This window comes from Homo sapiens, chromosome 10 (genome assembly GCF_000001405.40).
Source record: "Homo sapiens chromosome 10, GRCh38.p14 Primary Assembly".
In the NCBI taxonomy this organism is placed as follows: Eukaryota; Metazoa; Chordata; class Mammalia; order Primates; family Hominidae; genus Homo; species Homo sapiens.
In genome coordinates this window covers 66,051,191-66,071,974 of record NC_000010.11, presented here as the reverse complement: position 1 = coordinate 66,071,974, position 20,784 = coordinate 66,051,191, and the positions used below count along the sequence as shown (strand labels likewise).

Below are 20,784 nucleotides of genomic sequence, written 5' to 3'. Positions count from 1 at the left end.
GCCGACCTCTCTTTTAGAGTTAAATTAGTAAATGAAATCTATGCTTAAAAATGCCTAATAGGCAATTGGGATAACACAGCTTTTCATTGAAAAATAATGGATAATATTATAAATAGAGTTCTGAGATTCACTGCAGAGAGTAAAGAACTGAATCTATTTGTGTAAGTAATGGTTGACAGTTAACATCACTTTACTCAAAAAGTGTGTTCTTGCATATCATTTGATGTCCAAAACAGCCTGTCAGGTAAAGATCATGGTATATAATTTAAAGATTTGGAAACTTAGGTTCTAAACAATGTGACTATTCTTTGGAGAACAATTGCTTTCAAAGGTAGACAGCGATAGAGAAATACCATCATGGAGAATGTGTATATATTGGTATATTGTGGGCAATATTATTCGTGTTTGTTGGCTTAGTGATAGAACAAAAACTCTAGAGCTATATTTTCTGATTTACATCCTGATTCTACCATTGACTGACACTATAATCTTGATAAATCACTTAATGTTTCAGAGAGACTCGATTTCCTCACTTACAAAATTGGGATAATAATAATTCCTCATAGGGCTGCTATGAAGTTTAAATGTTTCTTGTGTTTGGTAACACATTCCAAGATCAATAGTTACACAATATAATCTTATTCAGATGGCAGTGATTGAAAAAGCCTTTGACAGTTATTTCTATCAGAGTTCTGCTCTATAGATGTAAGCAGAAACCTAAACACATAGCCACCTGGCGATATATATCAGAGATATTCTACTTACTTAATTTTTCTTAAGCTTTGTACCTCAGTTTCTTTGTTTAACTTGAACAAAATAATTCAATAAAGAATTTTTCACCTAGACTTTCCAAACATCAAGTATTCTCTTAAGTCTTCCTTTGGAATTTTCAGCGTGGTTGAAATTGATCGATGACATATAATAAATCATAGAAGCACTTAAAACCTTCTGCAAAGGTGTCAGTAACTTAATGTTTTGTTGCTGCTATTGTTCCCCCTGAGAAAAAGGACCAGAATTCTCTAGAACTTTTAATTTTGCAAACTATTGCCCAACTTTTGGCTCTTATCTTGTCAGAGGTAAATGTCTGTTGTAATTCACCATTTGAGTTGAGATGTTATTAAGGAGATGAAGTGCAACCAATGAGCTCCCTGTCCACAACAGGGTCAGTCGCAATCTTATCCAATAATTGACTCTGTTCCCTGCATGGCAGGTGGATAGCAGTTGCAATTACTGTCATTTTGTGTCTAGGGAAACTTAGACAGGAGGGTTAGGTAACTTCCTCAAGGTCATATTGGAAATCAGTGGCATTCCAAGTAACTGAACTTGGAATACACTTAACCAGTTCAGCTCTTGAATAGCTTTATTATGAGAACAGTAAATAATTTTCCATAATATACCAGTGTATATTCAGCACTATTTATTCTAATAAATAGAATCACAGATTTATGACCTCTGAGATACAGAATGTAAAGAGAAGCACCAGTTGAACCTATCTGGAGCTATTGTAATTTGAACATTTAAACACCTTTTATGAGAATGGAGAGAATGATAATGACCGGTAGTCAAGATGGAGAAAACCCATTTCTATTCGTGAGTCAGTTTAATGGGTTGGTGGCTTATAATTTACTTAACGTGCTTGCATATTACTTTTCATTTCAGAAGTAGTGAGCTGTGTCTTCATTTACGTGCTTTGCCATATGCCAGCAGTAGTAAAAGTTGCTCCTCTCTTACAACCTCACATAGGACACATTTCCTCAGAAAAGAAACTACAAACTACTTTCAGAGGCTAAGAAATAGCACTTGTGTCAGTTAAAAACTTAGTCTTGTGTAGCTTAATTTGATTCTTCATAGAAAAAATACAAACAAAATGAAAAAATTTATTAGACATATGAAAATATTTTGATAATTTTATTGAATAAGAAATAGCTACCATTTATGGAACATTCAATATGTGTCAAGCATTATGCTGAGATATTTACAGAAAATTCAAACTAAAAGCATCATTGTTTTTTCTTTATTATGTTAAAGTTGAGGCATGACTAATTCATCCTGTAATTGCATATATACACATAGGTAGACATAGTCTCATTTCAAGTTAAATTATGTTATACATCCACCTTTTTATACGCACTTTTCTAACAAAGGTGATGCATTACACTAAATTGATGTTAATTTAAAATTTGAAGCGTATTAGAAATTTGCAAAGTCCCACATTTATTTTATAAAATGGATTTAAGTATGTTGGACACCAAGTTCTACAGTGTTATTCTAAATGTAACATTATAGTTCTAGAGCAAACTATTATAATTTAATAGATTTTTATATGAAATATTAAGCCTGGAAAGTTTTAATTGAATGAATTTAACTATATTGTGCCTCTGATTTTAAATGAACAAGTTTTATGAGTATCCTATAATATCTACTTATTCCTAAAATGCTTTTGACATAGTGGAATGATTTTAACTCTAATTATCACATGTTTTAGGCTAAGATGACTCAACTGCCTGAGGCAGAAAAAGAAAAGATTGCTGAGCAAGTTGCTGATTTCAAGAAAGTAAAGAGTAAGCTGGATGCTGAGATTGAGATATGGGATGATACAAGCAACGACATCATTGTTCTGGCCAAGAACATGTGTATGATCATGATGGAGATGACAGACTTCACTAGGTAATTATGTGGAAAACGATGTGTAATATTCATAATGGCTGAAAATATTAGTCATATTAGTGAAACCTCAAGATTCTCTGAGTGTCAAGTGCCAAAAATCAGGTGGTAGGGGAAAAGCAAATATAGTATTAGAAAGTTGTAGGTGTACAATTCTAGAGGTTTCGATCGATAAATAAATATGGCAAGTTTCTCAGAAACTTCTGTGGAATTGGTTTGGACACCACTTATACTCTCTCACCTTCCCCTTCCCCAGGCATCTGCTCTGTGTATCATACTAGCATGTGACTTCTACAAAGAATTTGGTAAACCAAGTGATTCGCTGGTATTGGAGCTATCTGAATGGTTGAGTTTCATAGCTGTGTAATTTTAGTTATAGTGATTTATAGCATAATCAGGATAGTGGTATCTTTTGCTTCTGAGATGAGAACTAGATATATTTGAAATTATAATCACTTAATGATAGCCATGAAAAAAATGTACATTGTGGGCATATTGCAGAAGTAATAAAAATGTTTGTTATTGTCTTAAAATGTCATTTTATAGAGTTAGTCAAAAAGCAATAAAATATATAGTGGCTGCCCTACTAGTAACTAATGTACACAAACTATAACAACTAAAATAATTCAGTCGTGGTGTAGTTATAAAAGCCACAGTACAGAAGGATACACTGAAGCTGACCTAGTACACTTAGAAAATCTTTCATTTGTATTACCATGTAGTATTCATGTATATGGTGCTGTGTACCGTTGGTACATTCATTTATACCCCAAAATAACTTTCAGGTGGAGTAATGAAATAACTGTTAATTTTAAAATCATAATTAATGGAGAAAATGTACATGAATCTTTCAGTGATATTAAAATTGAGAAACAGTTTATGAAAATTACATACAAAATAATTTACAAAGAAAGGATTGTTAAATTGAACTTCAAAAAATGTACATCAATAGAATGTCCTAAGCAATATTGAAATGTAAATGGATAACTGGATAAACAAAAATTTGATCCCATTTATATATAAAGAATACTTGCAGACATAAAAAATTAATATTGTAGTGGAAGAATGGACAAAGAATATGGTTATATTATTAACCACTTTCTCCTTATAAAAGTTATGGCAGACAAATATTTGAAAAATATTAAAAATAAAATAGTTAGAATAAGATGTATTTTAAATCTATCAAATTTGCCAAAACTTTTAAAATAGGCTTGGTACAGAGCATCGTGTTGAAAATCTAATGACATAAGCCTTATAGTAATTTGGGAATATGCGTAAAATGAAAATCTTTATAAACTTTTCATACGTGCATCATCTGTATCCATATCTGTACTATACTTCAGGGAACCTATCCAAAGGAAATAATATAAAGTGATAAACTTTTTATTTTTTTTTGAGATGGAGTCTCGCTCTGTCATCCAGGCTGGAGTGCAGTGGCACGATCTCGGCTCACTGCAACCTCTGCCTTTGGGGTTCAAACGATTCTTCTGCCTCAGCCTCCCGAGTAGCTGGGACTACAGGCGCACAACACCACACCCAGCTAATTTTTGTATTTTTAGTAGAGACGGAGTTTCACCATATTGGTGTGGCTGGTCTCAAACTCCTGACCTCGTGATCCGCCCGCCTCAGCCTCCCAAAGTGCTGGGATTACAGGCATGAGTCACCGCACCTGGCCAAACTTTTTTGAATAAAGGAAACCCTTGGCCTCTGAAAGTTTACTGAAAAATCAACTCACAAAAGGCAGATTAATAGGTGAAAAAACATATAAATTTATTTACCAAGTATATATGGTAGCCTTCAGAATGAAGACCCAAAGACACAGGATAAATTGTTTATTTTTATGCTTAAGTTCAATAAAGTATGGACAATCATGTAGAAATATGATGGGACAAATAAGGTATGATCTTATGTTAATAGACTGAGTGGGGTACCCAGCAAGGCCTGTCTGTCTAGATTTTTCTTGGCTTCTCTGAACATGTATTTCTACCTTCTGGATATGGGGCAAGACCCTCGCTGGAATATGGGTCTTATGACCTATAGTCAAACAAGGTAGGTAGGAAAATTATTGTATGACTAGTACAATTACACAGAGAGATGGAGATCGTTTTAGAATAATATTTTTATGTTTTATCACTAGCTTTGGGGAAAAGGGGTTCTGGCTTCTGTGACCTGCCTTGGAGAAGGATTCTAGTATTTATGACTAGCCTCAGGGGAAAATGGAACTGAGCAACAGGAGAACAGAAAAAAATCAGAGAAAAACTTTTGCTTCTGAAGCTGCTTCTAAGTCCTTCATTTTGGCGTATATTTTTTTTTTCTGAGCCCCAACAGGATAACTATAGAATTATTTAAAATAATAGAAAAATTGGGATGATTAAACAAATGGTTGCCTGCCACATGAAAAGAGTCTATAGAAAATAAAGTCAAGTTTTTTAAATAGTATGAAAGTAGTCTAAATTTTATAATCTATTATGTATATGGATGCATAGATATTCTCATATGCATATTTTTGTCTTTGTTTTGTTTTATACCAAACTTACTCTTTACAATATAATTCAGTTCTACTTTGTATTCTTCTGAAAGAAATCCACTTTCCAAAGATTATGTGCAGTGAAGATTTCATTGGAAAGTGAGAAAATTAAATTTATTGTGTATTATACATGGAATTTCATAAAAATACCTCTTTAAATGTCTATTTCTATTTTTTGCACTTAACTCTTGCCATTTTTCCAACTCTAGTCCATAGCTTCTAAATGTCTTCTTATTCCTCTTCATATAGAAAGTAATTCAGTTTTGGCCCATGGTTCAATTTCTGCAGGCAAAGATTCGGAGAAATCTGTTTGTATATGTCTCTGCTTCTCTCTTTCTCTCTGTCTCTGTTTCTCTCTCTTTCTCCACACATATAATCACAAGCATTATATAATACAAACATATATAACATAGACATGTATATGCCTGTATAGGAACAAAACTAAACTTTCATGGGTTTAAATAATGATTATGTTTTAGTAGTTGGATTTTGGATAATTTAATTACAACTTTTAACCTTCTATAATTTGTTGCTGATTTAAAGTATCAATACATTTATATGAAAAACAACATATGGAAAGAAACCTGAACTATAATAGTTATATTATAATATCATCTTGGTGGCTAGGTGCGGTGGCTCACGCCTGTAATCCCAGCACTTTGGGAGGCCAAGGTGGACAGGTCACCAGAGGTTGGGAGTTCGAGACCAGCCTGACCAACATAGAGAAACCCTGTCTCTACTAAAAATACAAAATTAGCTGTGTGTGGTGGCATGCACCTGTAATCCCAACTACTCAGGAAGCTGAGGCAGGAGAATCACTTGAACCCAGGATGCGGAGATTGTGGTGAGCCGAGATTGCACCATTGCATATCAGCCTGGGCAACAAGAGCGAAACTCTGTCTCAAAAAAATAAAAATAAATAAAATAATAATAATAATAACTTGGTAAGTGGCACTGAGAAGACTCTTAAGCTTTCTCACCATAAAATAGTATAAATAATTCAAGTGGGTGTATTTATAGACAGGATTTAGAGCTAGAAGGGACAACAATGAAGGGTAAAGCCATGAGGAACAGAAGCTTTGAAGAAGTGGGCAGAGAAAATAGAATCTGATAAAGAAAGAGCATTCAAGTGTTAATAAGAAAAGTAACATACAAAGGAGGATGCTGGGCAGAGAATTTCAGTGAGTAATCAATGGTCTTACTTGAAGATAATGATTAAAAAGATACTAGTTTGGCAATTAGTAGATTTAATCAATTTGTTGTTGACTTTTGCTTTACGAAATGGTGAATGGAAAAAAACCTTATTTAAAAAGATAGGTAAGAGAATAGCAGATCAAAAAACAAAGAGACTCAAGGTAGTAACTTAAAAGAGACTAATGATCATGACAAGATTTTTGAGACTTCTGGATGTTTGAATATATTTTAGGCTGAAGGGAAAGAGGAAATGGGGAGGGACAGAATGAAATTGTAAAAGGGGAATAAAAAGCTATAGCCAAAAATGAGATAAATGGTTAGTGAGAAGGGAAAACAAAACAAAACAAAACAAAAAAAAACCATTTAAACCAACATAAGTTTACATGGCTGTTCCTTCTGGTCACAGCTTGAATGAATGAGCTGAGAATCAGATTAGCCTTTTTTGGCCACCCAGGGTAAAGACTTTCCCCAACTAGTCTGTACATCAGTTTCATTATCACTCTATATTACTTTCCTTTTAGCAGTTATCACTTTTTGGTTTAAATAATTCATTTTTTCCCATATTTCCTGCCTCTATTTCCATAACAGAGTATAAGTTGTATGAATGTATGAAATTTGCCTTTTTTTATACCCAGAATTTATAACAGCATGTGTATATATGCTTAGTATATATTTAATATGTAGTAGCTGAATTAATTAGATTTTTAAAATACTACTTTAATTCAGAAGGAACCAGGAATAAACAAAAAAACACAAAATTTGAACAAAAAGCAGGGAAGTAAGCATAAGCTTACTTTGTGAAAGTCTTGAAAGTCACTCTCTTTGCTTGCTTGTTAGCCCATATATAGATCCTAAATGTTGATACTAAGATTTTAATTTTAATGCCCTTATGGCATTTGGAGGAGACACATAGTCCGGAGACCTGGGACTAAGACTCTTAGAAAAGCTTATAGCCCTACCTTTAAAAGGGGAACCAGAGATATTTTCACACACCAGCTTGATGGAGCATCAACGGTGAATGCTTTTCCCTGGGGGGTCTTATTTAAATAAAGGCCATCTTTAAGAAATAGAGATCCCAAGTGTGTGACCTATTAAACTGATGAATTTCAAATTGCATAATCAGAAATGCCACCATGAAAGAGAAATTAAGATGCAAAAAAGAATGATCACCAAGGAAATTAGAAAAGGTGTTGACACATTCAAAGAAGGCTTGGTAAAACACCATCAATAATATGGTTAGGCTTTGTGTCCCCATCCGGATCTTATCTTGAATTATCATCCTCATAATTCCCACATGTCAAGGGAGAGACCAGGTGAAGGCAATTGAATCATGGCGTCAGTTTCCCCCATGCTGTTCACGTGATAGTGAGCGAGTTATCAGGAGATCTGATGGTTTCATAAGGGGCTCTTCCGCCTTCACTTGGCACTTTTCTTTCCTGCGCCTTGTAAAGAAGGTGCCTTGCTTCTCCTTTGCCTACTGACATGATTGTAAGTTTCCTGAGGGCTCCCCAGCCATGCGGAACTGTGAGTCAATTAAACCTCTTCCTCTTATAAATTACCCAGTCTCGGGCAATTCTTTATAGTAGTGTGAAAATAGACTAATACAATCAATGACAACAAAAAAAGACTATTTGAAGTGACCACACTACATAGGAGAAGTGTAAGGGTTGAAGATCAGAGTTAAATGGCCTACTATTCTTATATTCAGGAAGAAGTTTAAAGTATTAACATACTTTGCTACATAGAAAATTATATGCATTATATGCATTTTAAATTTCCAAGACATCTTTACAATAATGAAAATAGAATTAAATAGAATAAATGTTCCATATCAGTAGACAAAATTAATGTAGAGAAGATAAGTTAGAAAATGAGAATAAAATGAAAATTTAGGGTAAATATAAAAAAGCAATAGCATTATAAATCATACCAATAATATCAGTATTTCTAATATTTAGATTTAGTAAGCTTACTAGTTTTTTAAAAATAAAATTATTTAAAAATCTGTCATTTAACATAGTGGCGTATAGGAATCTTTTGATCTAGGAACCATGGGAAAGAGGAAGAAATCTCTCTCTAAAAGAGTAAAGGAATGTGTAAAAAAAGTGAAAGAAATTTCAGAAGTAAATACCTAACAGCTTCTATTTGTGGGGTAATGCCATCTGTGGAATATGAGAAGCCTTCAGAAGACAAACATGGAGTGACAACTTTGATAGAGAAGCAGATCTTGATATATAAAAGGTAATCGACTAGGAATATATATATATATTATATATATATATAGAGAGAGAGATTTATACATACATATCCAACTGGATATATAAATCTATATATAGATCTATCTATCTATCTATCTATCTATCTATATCTATATCTATATATATATATATATATACATGTATCCAGTCATTGGCTGGAAAGGAGCAGAACTGAAACTACTAAGAAGGATATATTGAAATGACTGGGTCTACACTGGGAAAGAAAGGAACTGATATTGGGGAGTAGAGCCAAAGTGGAAAAATAACAGCATGTCACTTGACAGATGGTGAGGTTACAGACCTCCTTGTAGTATTTTTTCCTGCTCTGTACATGTCTCCCTCCTAAAGGAATTAATATCTTACTGTTGGCATACTCTGAATCAAGTTGTAAAAGGATTCTGACAAATCAGTGGCTTTGAGGGTATCCTAATCTGTAGCTGGGGTGTTAGAAGGGGATTCATAACTCCATAGAGTGACAAATCATTTGAAAATAGACACATTTCATGTTTTACAAAAGCTAAGCAGCCCAACATTCTCTCAGTCTATAGCCATCACTAGCAAAGGCATCCACAGAACAGGAATATTGTGTGTTTGAACTGCAATAAAGGAAGGGTAGTAAAATTGAATTTTAGACTCTGATAATCTCTTGTGCTTGAACTGAATCCAGAGTCACCTAAATTTCAGTTCATATAAACTGTGATAAATCTCCAATTGTTTTAAAATGAATGAAATCTGTTCTTTACTTCTATTTTATTCCCAATTCTGTTTCAAGAGTTTCTTCTCAGACACCGTAATGTTTTTCTGAGGGTTAAACTTAGCAGTTTTATATATAGGCTATTCCTTGGTTCCACCTTTGTCACATTTCTTTCATTGCAGGTTTTTCGCTTGTTTGTAGTGGGACCTGTGAGAGTGAGGGTCACAGCTGGCAGTGCAGTATTTATCAGCTAGTAGTCCCCCATTTGGTGGTAGTAGTAGTACACTTGAAGTCCTCCATATAGATTTTAAATAGCTCTATAGTTTAAAAATAATAAAAGAAAAAATAGCTCATGCTTTATATCTTCTGAAGTGCCACAAAATGCTGTTTTCTCATTTTATTCAAATATTATTTTATTAATAAAAGACATAATGATAGCTAAACTTTGATGAGTGCTTACTGTGTACTGTATCTTGAGAAAAACATGTTTTCTTGTTTATCCTCTAGACAGTTTGATTGATTATTATACCCTCCATTTTATTAATAAAGAAATAGAGGTCAGATAAATTGCCCAAGGACACACAAGCAAAGTTAATTTTGAATGGAGGTTGGTCCGACTTCAGAATTTGGGCACCTACCCATTGTACAACAAGACTTTACCCTGTGCTAAACACAGGATAAGACCCAATCAGTTCTTTCCTCAAGGAAGAAACAAATTGACACATCAGAGATAACAATAATTATGTTATGTGTTGTTAAACTGTTAAATGTTCAATCTGTTAGGATTTTGGAAGAGAGAGAGTTTGTGGAGAATAAGCACAGAAGAAAAAGTATGAACAAATGAAATTTGTATTCGATTTTGAATGAGGTGTGGGGTTGAGTCATGGAAGGTGATGATGTATGTGAGAAAGTTCATGAGAATGGAGGCCAGCAGGTAGGAATGAGTCACGTCCATTTAGGGGCTCTAAGAAAAAAAATATGAAAAAGAAGGAAATTAAGATGGGCATGAAGAAAGTGATAGGTTATAAAAGGCCTTAGAAAATTGACAGTTTTTCTTTTTATGAAGTAGGAGATACGTAACAACTGAAGGATTATGATCATGGTAGGGGCATAATGGAAATGATAAGTGAGAAGAGGGACAGGCATTTATGCGTGGCACTGTAGCAGAGACCACCCATATGGATCCGGCCACAGTTGGAGACTCATAATTAGATGCGCTTTGGAGAAAGTCTGGTATAGACTAATTCAAACACAATAAACTCATAGAAAGTACTGTATCAGCAGTGTGAAAAAATTACTTACATAAAACTTGATGTAGCCATTTCTGAGTATTGGCACATGAACCTTGACCTTCCAGCCTAAACTGAAGATGTGGAGCAAGTTCTACTCTAGTCATTTGTGCACAGTTACAAATGCAGCAAGGCATCTCTGTTCCCCTTGTGATAGCCTTATTCAAGGGCAGAGAAGTCAGGCTTTATGATTTGAAAACATGATTTCTCCTTGGTGAAGGGCCATTCCTACAGTCACATAAACTGTGTTACATTGTTAACATTGAGAAGGTGGCATCTTCTAACAACCCAGCATTCCTTTTATACATCTTCTGGTATTTTCTAGAATCAGAGTAAAGGATTTAAAACTTTCTAGAGGAAAGCAAGTATTTCTTCTTGTACTAATCACTTTCTTTCCCAGAAAAACATCTTTCAAATTTCTTCCTAGAAGGTAAGGAACTAGGAGCAGAGTGGTAGAGGATGGGGTGACTGGGACCTTGACACTTAGCATTGAGTATTCACACATTCATTTAATCACCCTGTTGTTCATAAAATGTACCCCACCCCTAAAATAAGTCTAAAGACCCACAATGCAAAGACCATTTTATCCTCTTCAGAGAATAATATCTGGAATTATGCTGGGCTGAGGTGGGGGTAGATATTCAGTGGTGTGAAATAGGAGATGGGATCAAACTGCCTTTTTCAGTCCCTCTCTTCATCCCCAAGTTTAATCATACCTAAGTCTTTCTGCATAAAATCACTTGATTCTTAATTTTCCCTGTTGCTGGTTTGAACTCTGACTTTCTCCGATTGGCTATGTCATTTAGTACTTGTCATCTGCTTTTGAGTTTGTTAATATTTCTTGCTGTTATTTTATCTTCCATTCCATTCTCTCCGTGCTAGTGTGTTTAAGTCTTTAGAAATAAACAAAAATAACTCATATATAGTTTTAGTGAGACTTGAAAAGGAGCAAAATTAGATACATGTGTCAGTTTGCCATCTTAACCTGGAAGCCCATTAGTTTTTATTAAGGTTGTGAAAGTTTTCTCTTTATGAGAGTTAGATATTAGATTAGATATTATTTTTTTCATAAATTATGGCCCCGTTTTTTGCTCTCCCTCTTAGGTAAATTCTGTCCACGCGGAATCTTGACTGTGAACTTAAACAGTTCCCACATTTTGTGACTTTCATAACACTTGAGACCCATTTCATTCCTTCCCTGATGTGAGCAGAAGACAGGCTCTAGGTATAACTTCCAGATATTTAATTATATCTTCTATGATCACCTAGGATGCATTTCCTTAAAAGTTGCAGAAAAATTATGGGGTAAAAGGCAAAACATAACTCTTCCTTGAATAAATAATACAAACCAGTATATTATCTTTGCAAAAATAATGACTGTTAAGAGTGTACCACCTTTAGTGTGAATATTATTAAAGTAATAAAATTGAAAATACCTAAAAGAAAGTAAAGCTGCTCTAAGCACCAACATGCTTAAAACTATTTATTCAAAGATATGCCAAAGTGACATCCCTATCCTCATGAAATTGTATATTTCAAGATACAATGTGATGTGTTTTTACTTGAAAAATATGTACTAATTTTACTAAATTTATACAGATTTTTCTAGAATTTCCATTGGCTCATTCACTGAGAATCTGCTGAATATTAGGTACTGTCCTTGTCCTTGGTATTAAGGACATACAGTGAACACAGTGGAGAATTTAGAGCCAGAGCAACATAAGATAGCATGGAAGAAGAATTGAGGAGAACAAGGAGATGGGCAGCAAAGCAGACAGGGAAAGAAAAAGATATAAAGGAAAGATAACAGTTAGGAGCAGACGAGCTGGTGCAGAAATTCATCTCTGAAAGGAATGCAGAATGTTGCTAGGAGCTGAGATATAAATAGGGAAAGTAAAGATTTTCAAGGTTTTTATACCTGAGTCTACTTATACTCAGGCATCTGAGACTCTGGCAGGTGTTGAATGAAGTCTATTAGTTTGTTGAACAGACAATAAAAGAACGGAAAGGACCTTCATTATCCAGCTGTCTTCATTTTAATTTTATTCAATGACACAATTCTGTATTTATGAGAATGATGTTCTGAAGAGAACTTTGGACAGAAATAGCTACAGAAAACGGGTTATTTGTCAGCCAAATGAGATGCCAATTTTCCTTACCAAAATGGGGCTAATTCCTTCCTGATACTCCCCCCTCTGAAAATATGAAGATCAATATTTACCAGTAAGAAAAAATAAATTATGGTATGATAATTTATACAGCTGAAAACCTCTTTGTTAATAGACATCATTTGTCTGGTAATGGGCCAACCTTCTGGGGACAAATGTGGTCAATCACAAGGTTATTCAGGTGCCCCTGAAACATCACAACTTGAAAGGTCAATTATAACACAAGTCTAACCATATGTATAATAAACATGGGAAGAAGACAACTTTCTAAAAAGTTTTGATTAGTTACCCAAGAGAAAGCATGTATGCTGCATTTTCTAAAAAGGCTGGCCTGACCTCATCCTGTTACTTAATATCACAGCCAGTAATCCTTCTGGTATTATGTTTCTATAATATCCCTAAACATGGTCTCAGAATTTTGATGAGCCAGCTAACTAAGCCAACTTGTCTGCAAGTGAGCCAGGTGTTTTCTTACTCTGTCCATTTTAAGCATGGCCTGTTGCACTCAAGAATTAACCAAAAACATGGAGGAATATGTGGATCAAATAGGGTTTGTTTGGAAGCACTGAGCTCTCAGCTTTCCTCATGTCCAGGAGAGCCTAAGATCTGACTGGACAATGGGGGAGATGTTTTAAAATCTGTCAAACAGAAGGGAAACCAAAGCAACACTCAAAAATAGCCATGTAGAAATAATGTTGCATTCATCATCAAAAAGAATCCTTGGGATGCACAGCTTCAGAGGGATGGTGGATGAAGAACTAGGTTGGGAGGTGGGGTTGAACTTATTTTGTACCCTGTGCATACTTCCCACTGGAAACAAGCTTGCATTTACAAAGCATTTCTGCCCCCGCTGTCTTTTCTAAGATACAACCCTGAGAGATGGAATAGAAAATGAAGCGAGGGAGGGAGGAAACTCACCTGGCCTCACTTCTGCTAGGGTTTCAGAATTAAATCTTTCTGAAAGCATAGTTGGAGTATGTGAAATCTGTATGTTCTATGGCTCATATCTTTTTGTTCATTAAATAAGAAATCTCTTTGCACATGACTCGTTTTGCTTTCTGAGGTGAAACATTTATATTCTAATATAATGTGTTAATGACAATAGCAATTTAAATATTGTAGCACACACAGCAAAGGGAATTAGAAATATTGGTAAGTTTTATGTTTTCCCCATTTAGAAACAGTCTATGTCTTATGATTTAAACTGTAAAGGCAGAGAAGTCCATTTTTTACATTACTTGATAAGACTACTGAATTCTCTTTCTCATATGTGTGGTAAATATACACAAATATCTAACAAATAATTGAAATATAAAATATGGGATAAGAGGATTATTTACAATTTTGAAAAACATGCCTGGCTTTTCAGCTTATACTTTTAAGAAAACATTCATTATATGTTTGAAATAATTATATCTGGAAGGAAAAATTATTTTTTGCTGTGCTCCAGAATGATGGCTTACTTTTTTTCCTATTGGATAGTGTGTTAGAGTAATTATAAGCAATAATCATTGCCTTTCCCATAAATATTCTCCCTGTAAATAATCCATTTATTTTACTTTATGTAGTCTTGAATCACTAGAAACTATTTAGTAATGCTGATGAGAAATGCTTTAATATAAAGGAGACTGATTTTATCTGTCAGTTACTTTTACATGATAAAAATGTACAGGATGATTGCTAATCATGATAAGTAATGAGCAAACATTCAGCTTAAATAAGATCTTAGTAATTGTTTATTAAAATTAACTGGGAAGGCATAAATGCTTTTACCTGAAATCTCAATTTCAATTTCTAAACTCTGTAGTAAATTTGTCAGAAAATTTAGTGAAATGGCTATTTTAGTTCCTAAGTGGCAGACCGGTTCTGTATCGTGTGAATCTTCAGAGATTTTAGGTGTTATAGTTAAATTATATTAATACAAAAATGTGGGAATAAACAGAATGAGAACATACAGGGACTGCTCATCCAGACTTTACTATTCAGACCTTACAGAGGAATCAGCTACCATCACTTGCTTTGGGCAGAGTCTCAAAAACAGGCAGGGAAAAGGAAAGCTTTAAAAAGGAGATTTCTAGTATTTTCTGATGGGATACTGTTGAGGTAGAGAAGTTTCAGGTAGACTAAATAGGAGCAGGACATTTTATGAGATGGGTTTGAGGGGTATATTTGGCTTTCTCTGATTCTTACTGAATTGAAAGCTTTGGCAAATATAGGTAAGTTGGCTGTCATTGACCAAATCATGTCCATTCTGGGTCTATTGCTACATAAGCTGTGGTTTAATTTCCAGGACTGGTTGCTGCAGAGGTTATGGTCAAAGCTCTACTGTCATATAAATTCTGGCCATTGTTCATTTATACATTTAATCTCTCTGCCAACAAAGTGGAAAACCTAGAAGAAATGGAGGAGTTCCTAACCATATGCAAGTACCAAGATTGAATGCTGAAGAAATCCAAAACCTGAATAGACAAATAACAAGTATTGAGATATTAACAGAAGTCTCCCATAAAAGAAATGGCTAAAAGCTGATGGCTTCACTGTTGGGTTCTACCAAACAATTTAAAAATAAATAATGTCAATCCTACTGAAATTATTTCTAAAATGTGAGGAGGAGGGAGTACTTCCTAACTCATTCTATGAGGCTAGTATTATCCTAATACCAAAACCAGATGAAAAGACAGCAGAAGAGGAAAATGACAGGCCAATACCTCTGATGAACATGATAAAAAAAATACTCAACAAAATACTAGCAAACAGAATTCACAACACATTAAAAAGTACATTCATCATCATTGAGAGGGATTCATTCCAGAAATGCAACAGTGGTTCAACATATGCAAATCAATAAGTGTGATACATCATACCAACAGAATGAAGGATGCAAACCATACAATTATTTCAAAAGATTCTTAAAAAAAATCTGATAACATTCAACATCCCTTCATGGTAAAAACCCTCAACAAGTATGTATTTGTCCTCAAAATGAAAAATATCTCAATAAGATAAACGCTATATATAACAAACCCACAGCTAGCATCACACTGAATGGGGAAAACCTGAAAGCCTCTCCTTTAACAGCTGAAATAAGACAAGGATTCCCACTTTCACCACTTTTATTGAACATAATACTAGAAGTCCTAGCCAGAGCAATTAGACAAGAGAAAGAAATAAAAGTCATTCAAATTGAAAAGAAATGAGTCAAATTATCCTTGCTTGCAGATGATATGATTTTATATCTTTTTTTTTTTTTTTTTTTTTTGAGATGGAGTCTCGCTCTGTCGCCCAGGCTGGAGTGCAGTGGTGTGACCTTGGCTCACTACAACCTCTGTCTCCCAGGTTCAAGCGATTCTCCTGCTTCAGCCTCCTGAGTAACTGGGATTACAGGTGCATACCACCATACCCAGCTAATTTCTGTATTTTTAGTAGAGATGGGGTTTCACCATGTTAGTCAGGCTGGTCTCAAACTCCTGACCTCATGATCTGCCTGCCTCGGCCTCCCGAAGTGCTGGTATTACAGGCGTAAGCCATCACGCCCGGCCGATTTTTTATCTTAAAAAAACTAAAGACTATCCCAAAAGTTACTGGATCTGATAAATTCAGTAAAGTTTCAGGCTACAAAATTAATGTATAAAAACCAGTAGCATTTCTATATAACAACAGCAAGCAGTCTGAAAAAAAGAAACCAAGAAAGTAATCCCATTACAATAGCCACAAATAAAATAAAATACCCAGGAATTAACCAAAGAAGTGAAATATCTGTACAATAAAACTGTAAAACATTGATGAAAGAAATTGAAGGGGACACAAAAATGGCCATATATTTCATGTTCATGGATGAGAAGAATCAATATTGTTAAAATGTTCATACTACCCAAAGCAGTCTACAAATTCCATGCAATCTGTGTCAAAATACCAATGACATTCTTCACAGAAACAGAAAAAGTAATCCTAAAATGTATATGGAACCACAAAAGACCCATAATAGCCAAAGCAATCCTGAGAAAAAGACTGAAGCTGGAGACGTCACATTACCTGACTTAAATTTATACTACAAAGCTATAGTACCCCAAACAGCATGATACTGGCATAAAAACAGACACACAGACCAATGGAAAAGAATAGAGAACCCAGAAATAAACCCACTCATTTATAGTCAACTCATTTTGGATAAAAATGCCAAGAAAATACATTGGGAAAAGGAGAGTATCTTCAATAAATGGTGCTGGGAAAGCTGGATATCCATTTGCAGAAGAATGAAACTAGACCTCTATCTCTCACTATATACAAAAACCTAAATGAATTAAAGACTTAAAGCTAAGACTGCAAACTGTGAAACTACTAGAAGAAAACATTGGGGAAAAACTTCAGGACATTGGTCTGAGTAAAGATTTCTTGAGTAAGACCTCAAAAGCACAGGCAACCAAAGAAAATAAATGGACAAATGGGATCACATCAAAGTAAAAAGCTTCTTCTGCACAGCAAAGGAAATCATCAACAAAGTGAAAAGCCAACCCACGGGATGGAAAAAAATATTTGCCAATGACCCATCTGACAAGAGATTAATAGCCAGAATTTATAAGCAGCTTGAACAACTCAATAGGAAAAGAACAATCCAATCAAAAATGTACAAAAGATCTGCATAGACATTTCTCAAAAGGATACATACAAATGGCAAACTGGTATATGAAAAGATGCTCCATATCACTAATTATCAGAGAAATGCAAATTAAAACTACCTTGAGGTCACCTCACCCCAGTTAAAATGGCTTTTATCCAAAAGACAAGCAGTAACAAATGCTGATGAGAATGTGGAAAAAGGGAAACTCTTGTACACTATTGGCGTGAATACAAATTAGTGCAGCCACTGTGGAGAACAGTATAGAGGTTACTCAAAATCTAAAATTAGAACTTCCATGTGATCCATCAATCCCACTGCTGGATATACATCCAAAGGGAAGGAAATCAGCATATCAAGGAGATATTTGCACTCCCACTTTTATTGCAGCATTATTCACAATAGCCAAGAAATGGAATAAAATTATGTATCCATCAAAGGATAAATGGATAAAGAAATTGTGGTACATATACACAATGGAATATTATTCAACAATAAAAAGAATGAAATCCTGTCATTTGCAACAACATGGATAGAAATGTAAGATATTACGTTAAGTGAAATAAGCCAGGCACAGAAAGACAAATATCACATGTTCTCATTAATAGGTGGCAACAACGATAACAATAATAATAATAAACCATGAAAGTTAAGAGAAAAATGAGATGTGGTTAATGGGTACAAACATATAGTTGGGTAAAAGGAATAAGATCTGGCATTTGGTAGCACAATAGGGAAACTATAGTAAACAATAATTTATTGTACATTTCAAAATAACTAAAGGAGTAGAATTAAAATATTCCTAACACAAAAAAGATAAATATTAGATACCACAGCCACCCTTATTTAATCATTATATGTTATATGCTTGTATCAAAATATCACATGTACCTCATAATGTGTACAACTATTATGTATTCATAATAATTAAAAATTAAGGGAGTTGGAGATGGTTAATGGGTACAAAAATAGAAAGAATGAATAAGACCTACTATTTGATAGCACAATAGGGTGACTATAGTCAATAATAACTTAATTGTACATTTTAAAATGAAGAGTATAATTGGATTGTTTGTAACTCAAAGGATGGATACCCCATGCTCCATGATGCGTTTATTTCACATCGCATGCCCATATGAAAATATGTCATGTATGCCATAAATATACACATCTACTATGTACCCACAAAATTTAAAAATAAACAAAACAAAGTTTAAAAAATAAAATTAAAAATGTAAAAATGTGTGAAAAACATCCTAAGAAAAGAAATTTAACTGAATATCATTTCTTTGAGATGGTGATTGGTAGGTAGTTATAAAAACAATATTGAATTAATCTGATATTTAAAAACAAAAATAAAATAGTTATTTTTATAGAAAAAGGTGATCTCTGATAATGTGTATTCTAAACCAATAGTCCAATGAGTTTAAAAGTACCTGGTTTAAAAAAACACAGTAAGATAGTTCAATGGATGCACCTTTGTGAATATAACTATTTTTGTCAGCCTTATTCTCGCTGTCTGTTTCAAGAACTCTTAGTTAGAGTAGTTTGGATTTATTTGGTCTTCTACAGTACTTTAATGAATATATTCTATGCATAGAATTTTTTTCAGAAATGAAATTTTAAATTTCAACTTCTGTCTCTCTCCAAAAAAAATTGTAATACCTTATCCTCAACCTCGTCATGTCTCATTTTAGATTTTGTCATTCTCTCCAAACTTATTTAGATACTTAATTCTTTATTTATTTTCTTATTCAGAAAGAATGCTTTGCCCATATTTTAACTACTCTCTCATGAAAATTTTGATCTCTCCGTCTCTCATGTCCATATGACACAAAATCTCAACCCTGCCTCAATCCTACCACAGACTTTTTTTGTCCTTTGTTTGGTCTTCAGATTGTGGAACTCACCCATTTTTCGCTAGTGCTCAGGTATTTGTACTAGGAAATGTTATAGAGGGAGGGATCCTCAGAGAAACAGAGACAGTAAATTTTTGCTACTCTGAAATGTAATTGCTTAAGACACTTTTAATTTAAACAACGTACAACATGCACACACTGAGAGAGAACTTGACCCTCTCTAGTAAACATTTCTTTTACTTTCTCTAAGTCTTTGACCTCGAATGCTTTACCTTGAGTACAGATATTTTCCTCTGCCTTCCCCATCCTTCATTTCAAGTAAGTACTCACCTCAAAGGCAATCTTTGATATTTGTATTTTGTGACCACATTTCCTAATTATGGATAAGAATTTATCTCAGTGCCTATACCTTGGCTGTTACAGGCTCATTAGCCAGGTCCTTTCTGCATGATTTCACTGGTCAATTGGGTGCAACTATACAAATATTAGTTATCATTCTCATTGTAATTATCATGGCACTTAAAATGTAAGAATGCCTTCTGTTTGTTCATATAATGGCAAAATGGCCCTTTAGTATACTTTCTCCATGGGAGCTTACTCTGTGCTTTCAAATCATTATATTTACTTATCTAGACTTTCCCATCAATATAGCATTCATATCATGTGCCAATTTATGGAATTTTTACTGGCTTCAAATTTTTTTCTATCTATAATAACAAAAAAAGAAAGACTCACAATTTCATTATTGTGGGGCCAAAACATTAAGAATTTTGAATTAGATATTTTGGGCTGTTAAATGTTTTAGAAGAAATAACTTCTGAGTTTCCCTTAGGAAAACACCCTGAAACCTATCAATCTAATTATTATCTGCAGGAGAATATTTCTTATATCCCACAAGGGAGACCTAAGATGTTAGGAAAGGGTTCTATCATGTTTCTGAACTGATAGAATTGATAGTCTGCAAGAAAAATAGGAATAAAAGTGGAAACAAGTGATTTGTAGGAATGAGAACACTAAATATAATATTTTGTCCTTTGAACATTAAAAGTATTTTTGTTTATTACAATTTATCCTCACTTGTAGAGAATTCATTCAAAACTATCTTCAGATAGCTTAATGTAACTGTTTGGAAATCACTAAATGTTTTTGAAGTTTGCCAACATATTGTGAACTAGAAAAATAAGCTGAATTATTTCATACAAGATATTTCATGAAAGCCTTGGCTTTTCAGTTTAAGCAGATACTAAAATTACCTGGGGAATTATTTTGCAAGTAAGTAGGTTGAAGGAAAAACAAAAGGCAGTGGAACGAAGTCCAGGAAACTGAATAAAGAAGTCAAAGATTCATTCACTTATTTGTTCATTCATGTGCTCATTCATTCATGCATGCATTTAAAAAATATTTCATGATCATGTATTATACACAGGATTATGGTCTTCACGTAAAAAACAAAATCTGAATTTGGACTCAATTTCTGTCCTTGAGGACTTACAGAAATTAGAGGAATAATAAATGT

The 20,784-nt window shown here is 34.0% G+C and overlaps 1 protein-coding gene across 8 annotated transcripts in view; it reads left to right on the top strand.

Annotated features, from left to right (window-relative positions):
• CTNNA3 (catenin alpha 3) overlaps positions 1 to 20,784 on the top strand; it is a 1,851,072-nt gene that overhangs the window by 1,691,620 nt on the left and 138,668 nt on the right. For all 8 annotated transcript variants that reach the window (XM_047425124.1, NM_013266.4, XM_017016152.2 and 5 more), the window contains one exon: positions 2,486 to 2,667. In XM_047425124.1, the coding sequence (XP_047281080.1) occupies positions 2,486 to 2,667 (182 nt within the window). The remainder of the gene's footprint in view (positions 1 to 2,485; positions 2,668 to 20,784) is intronic.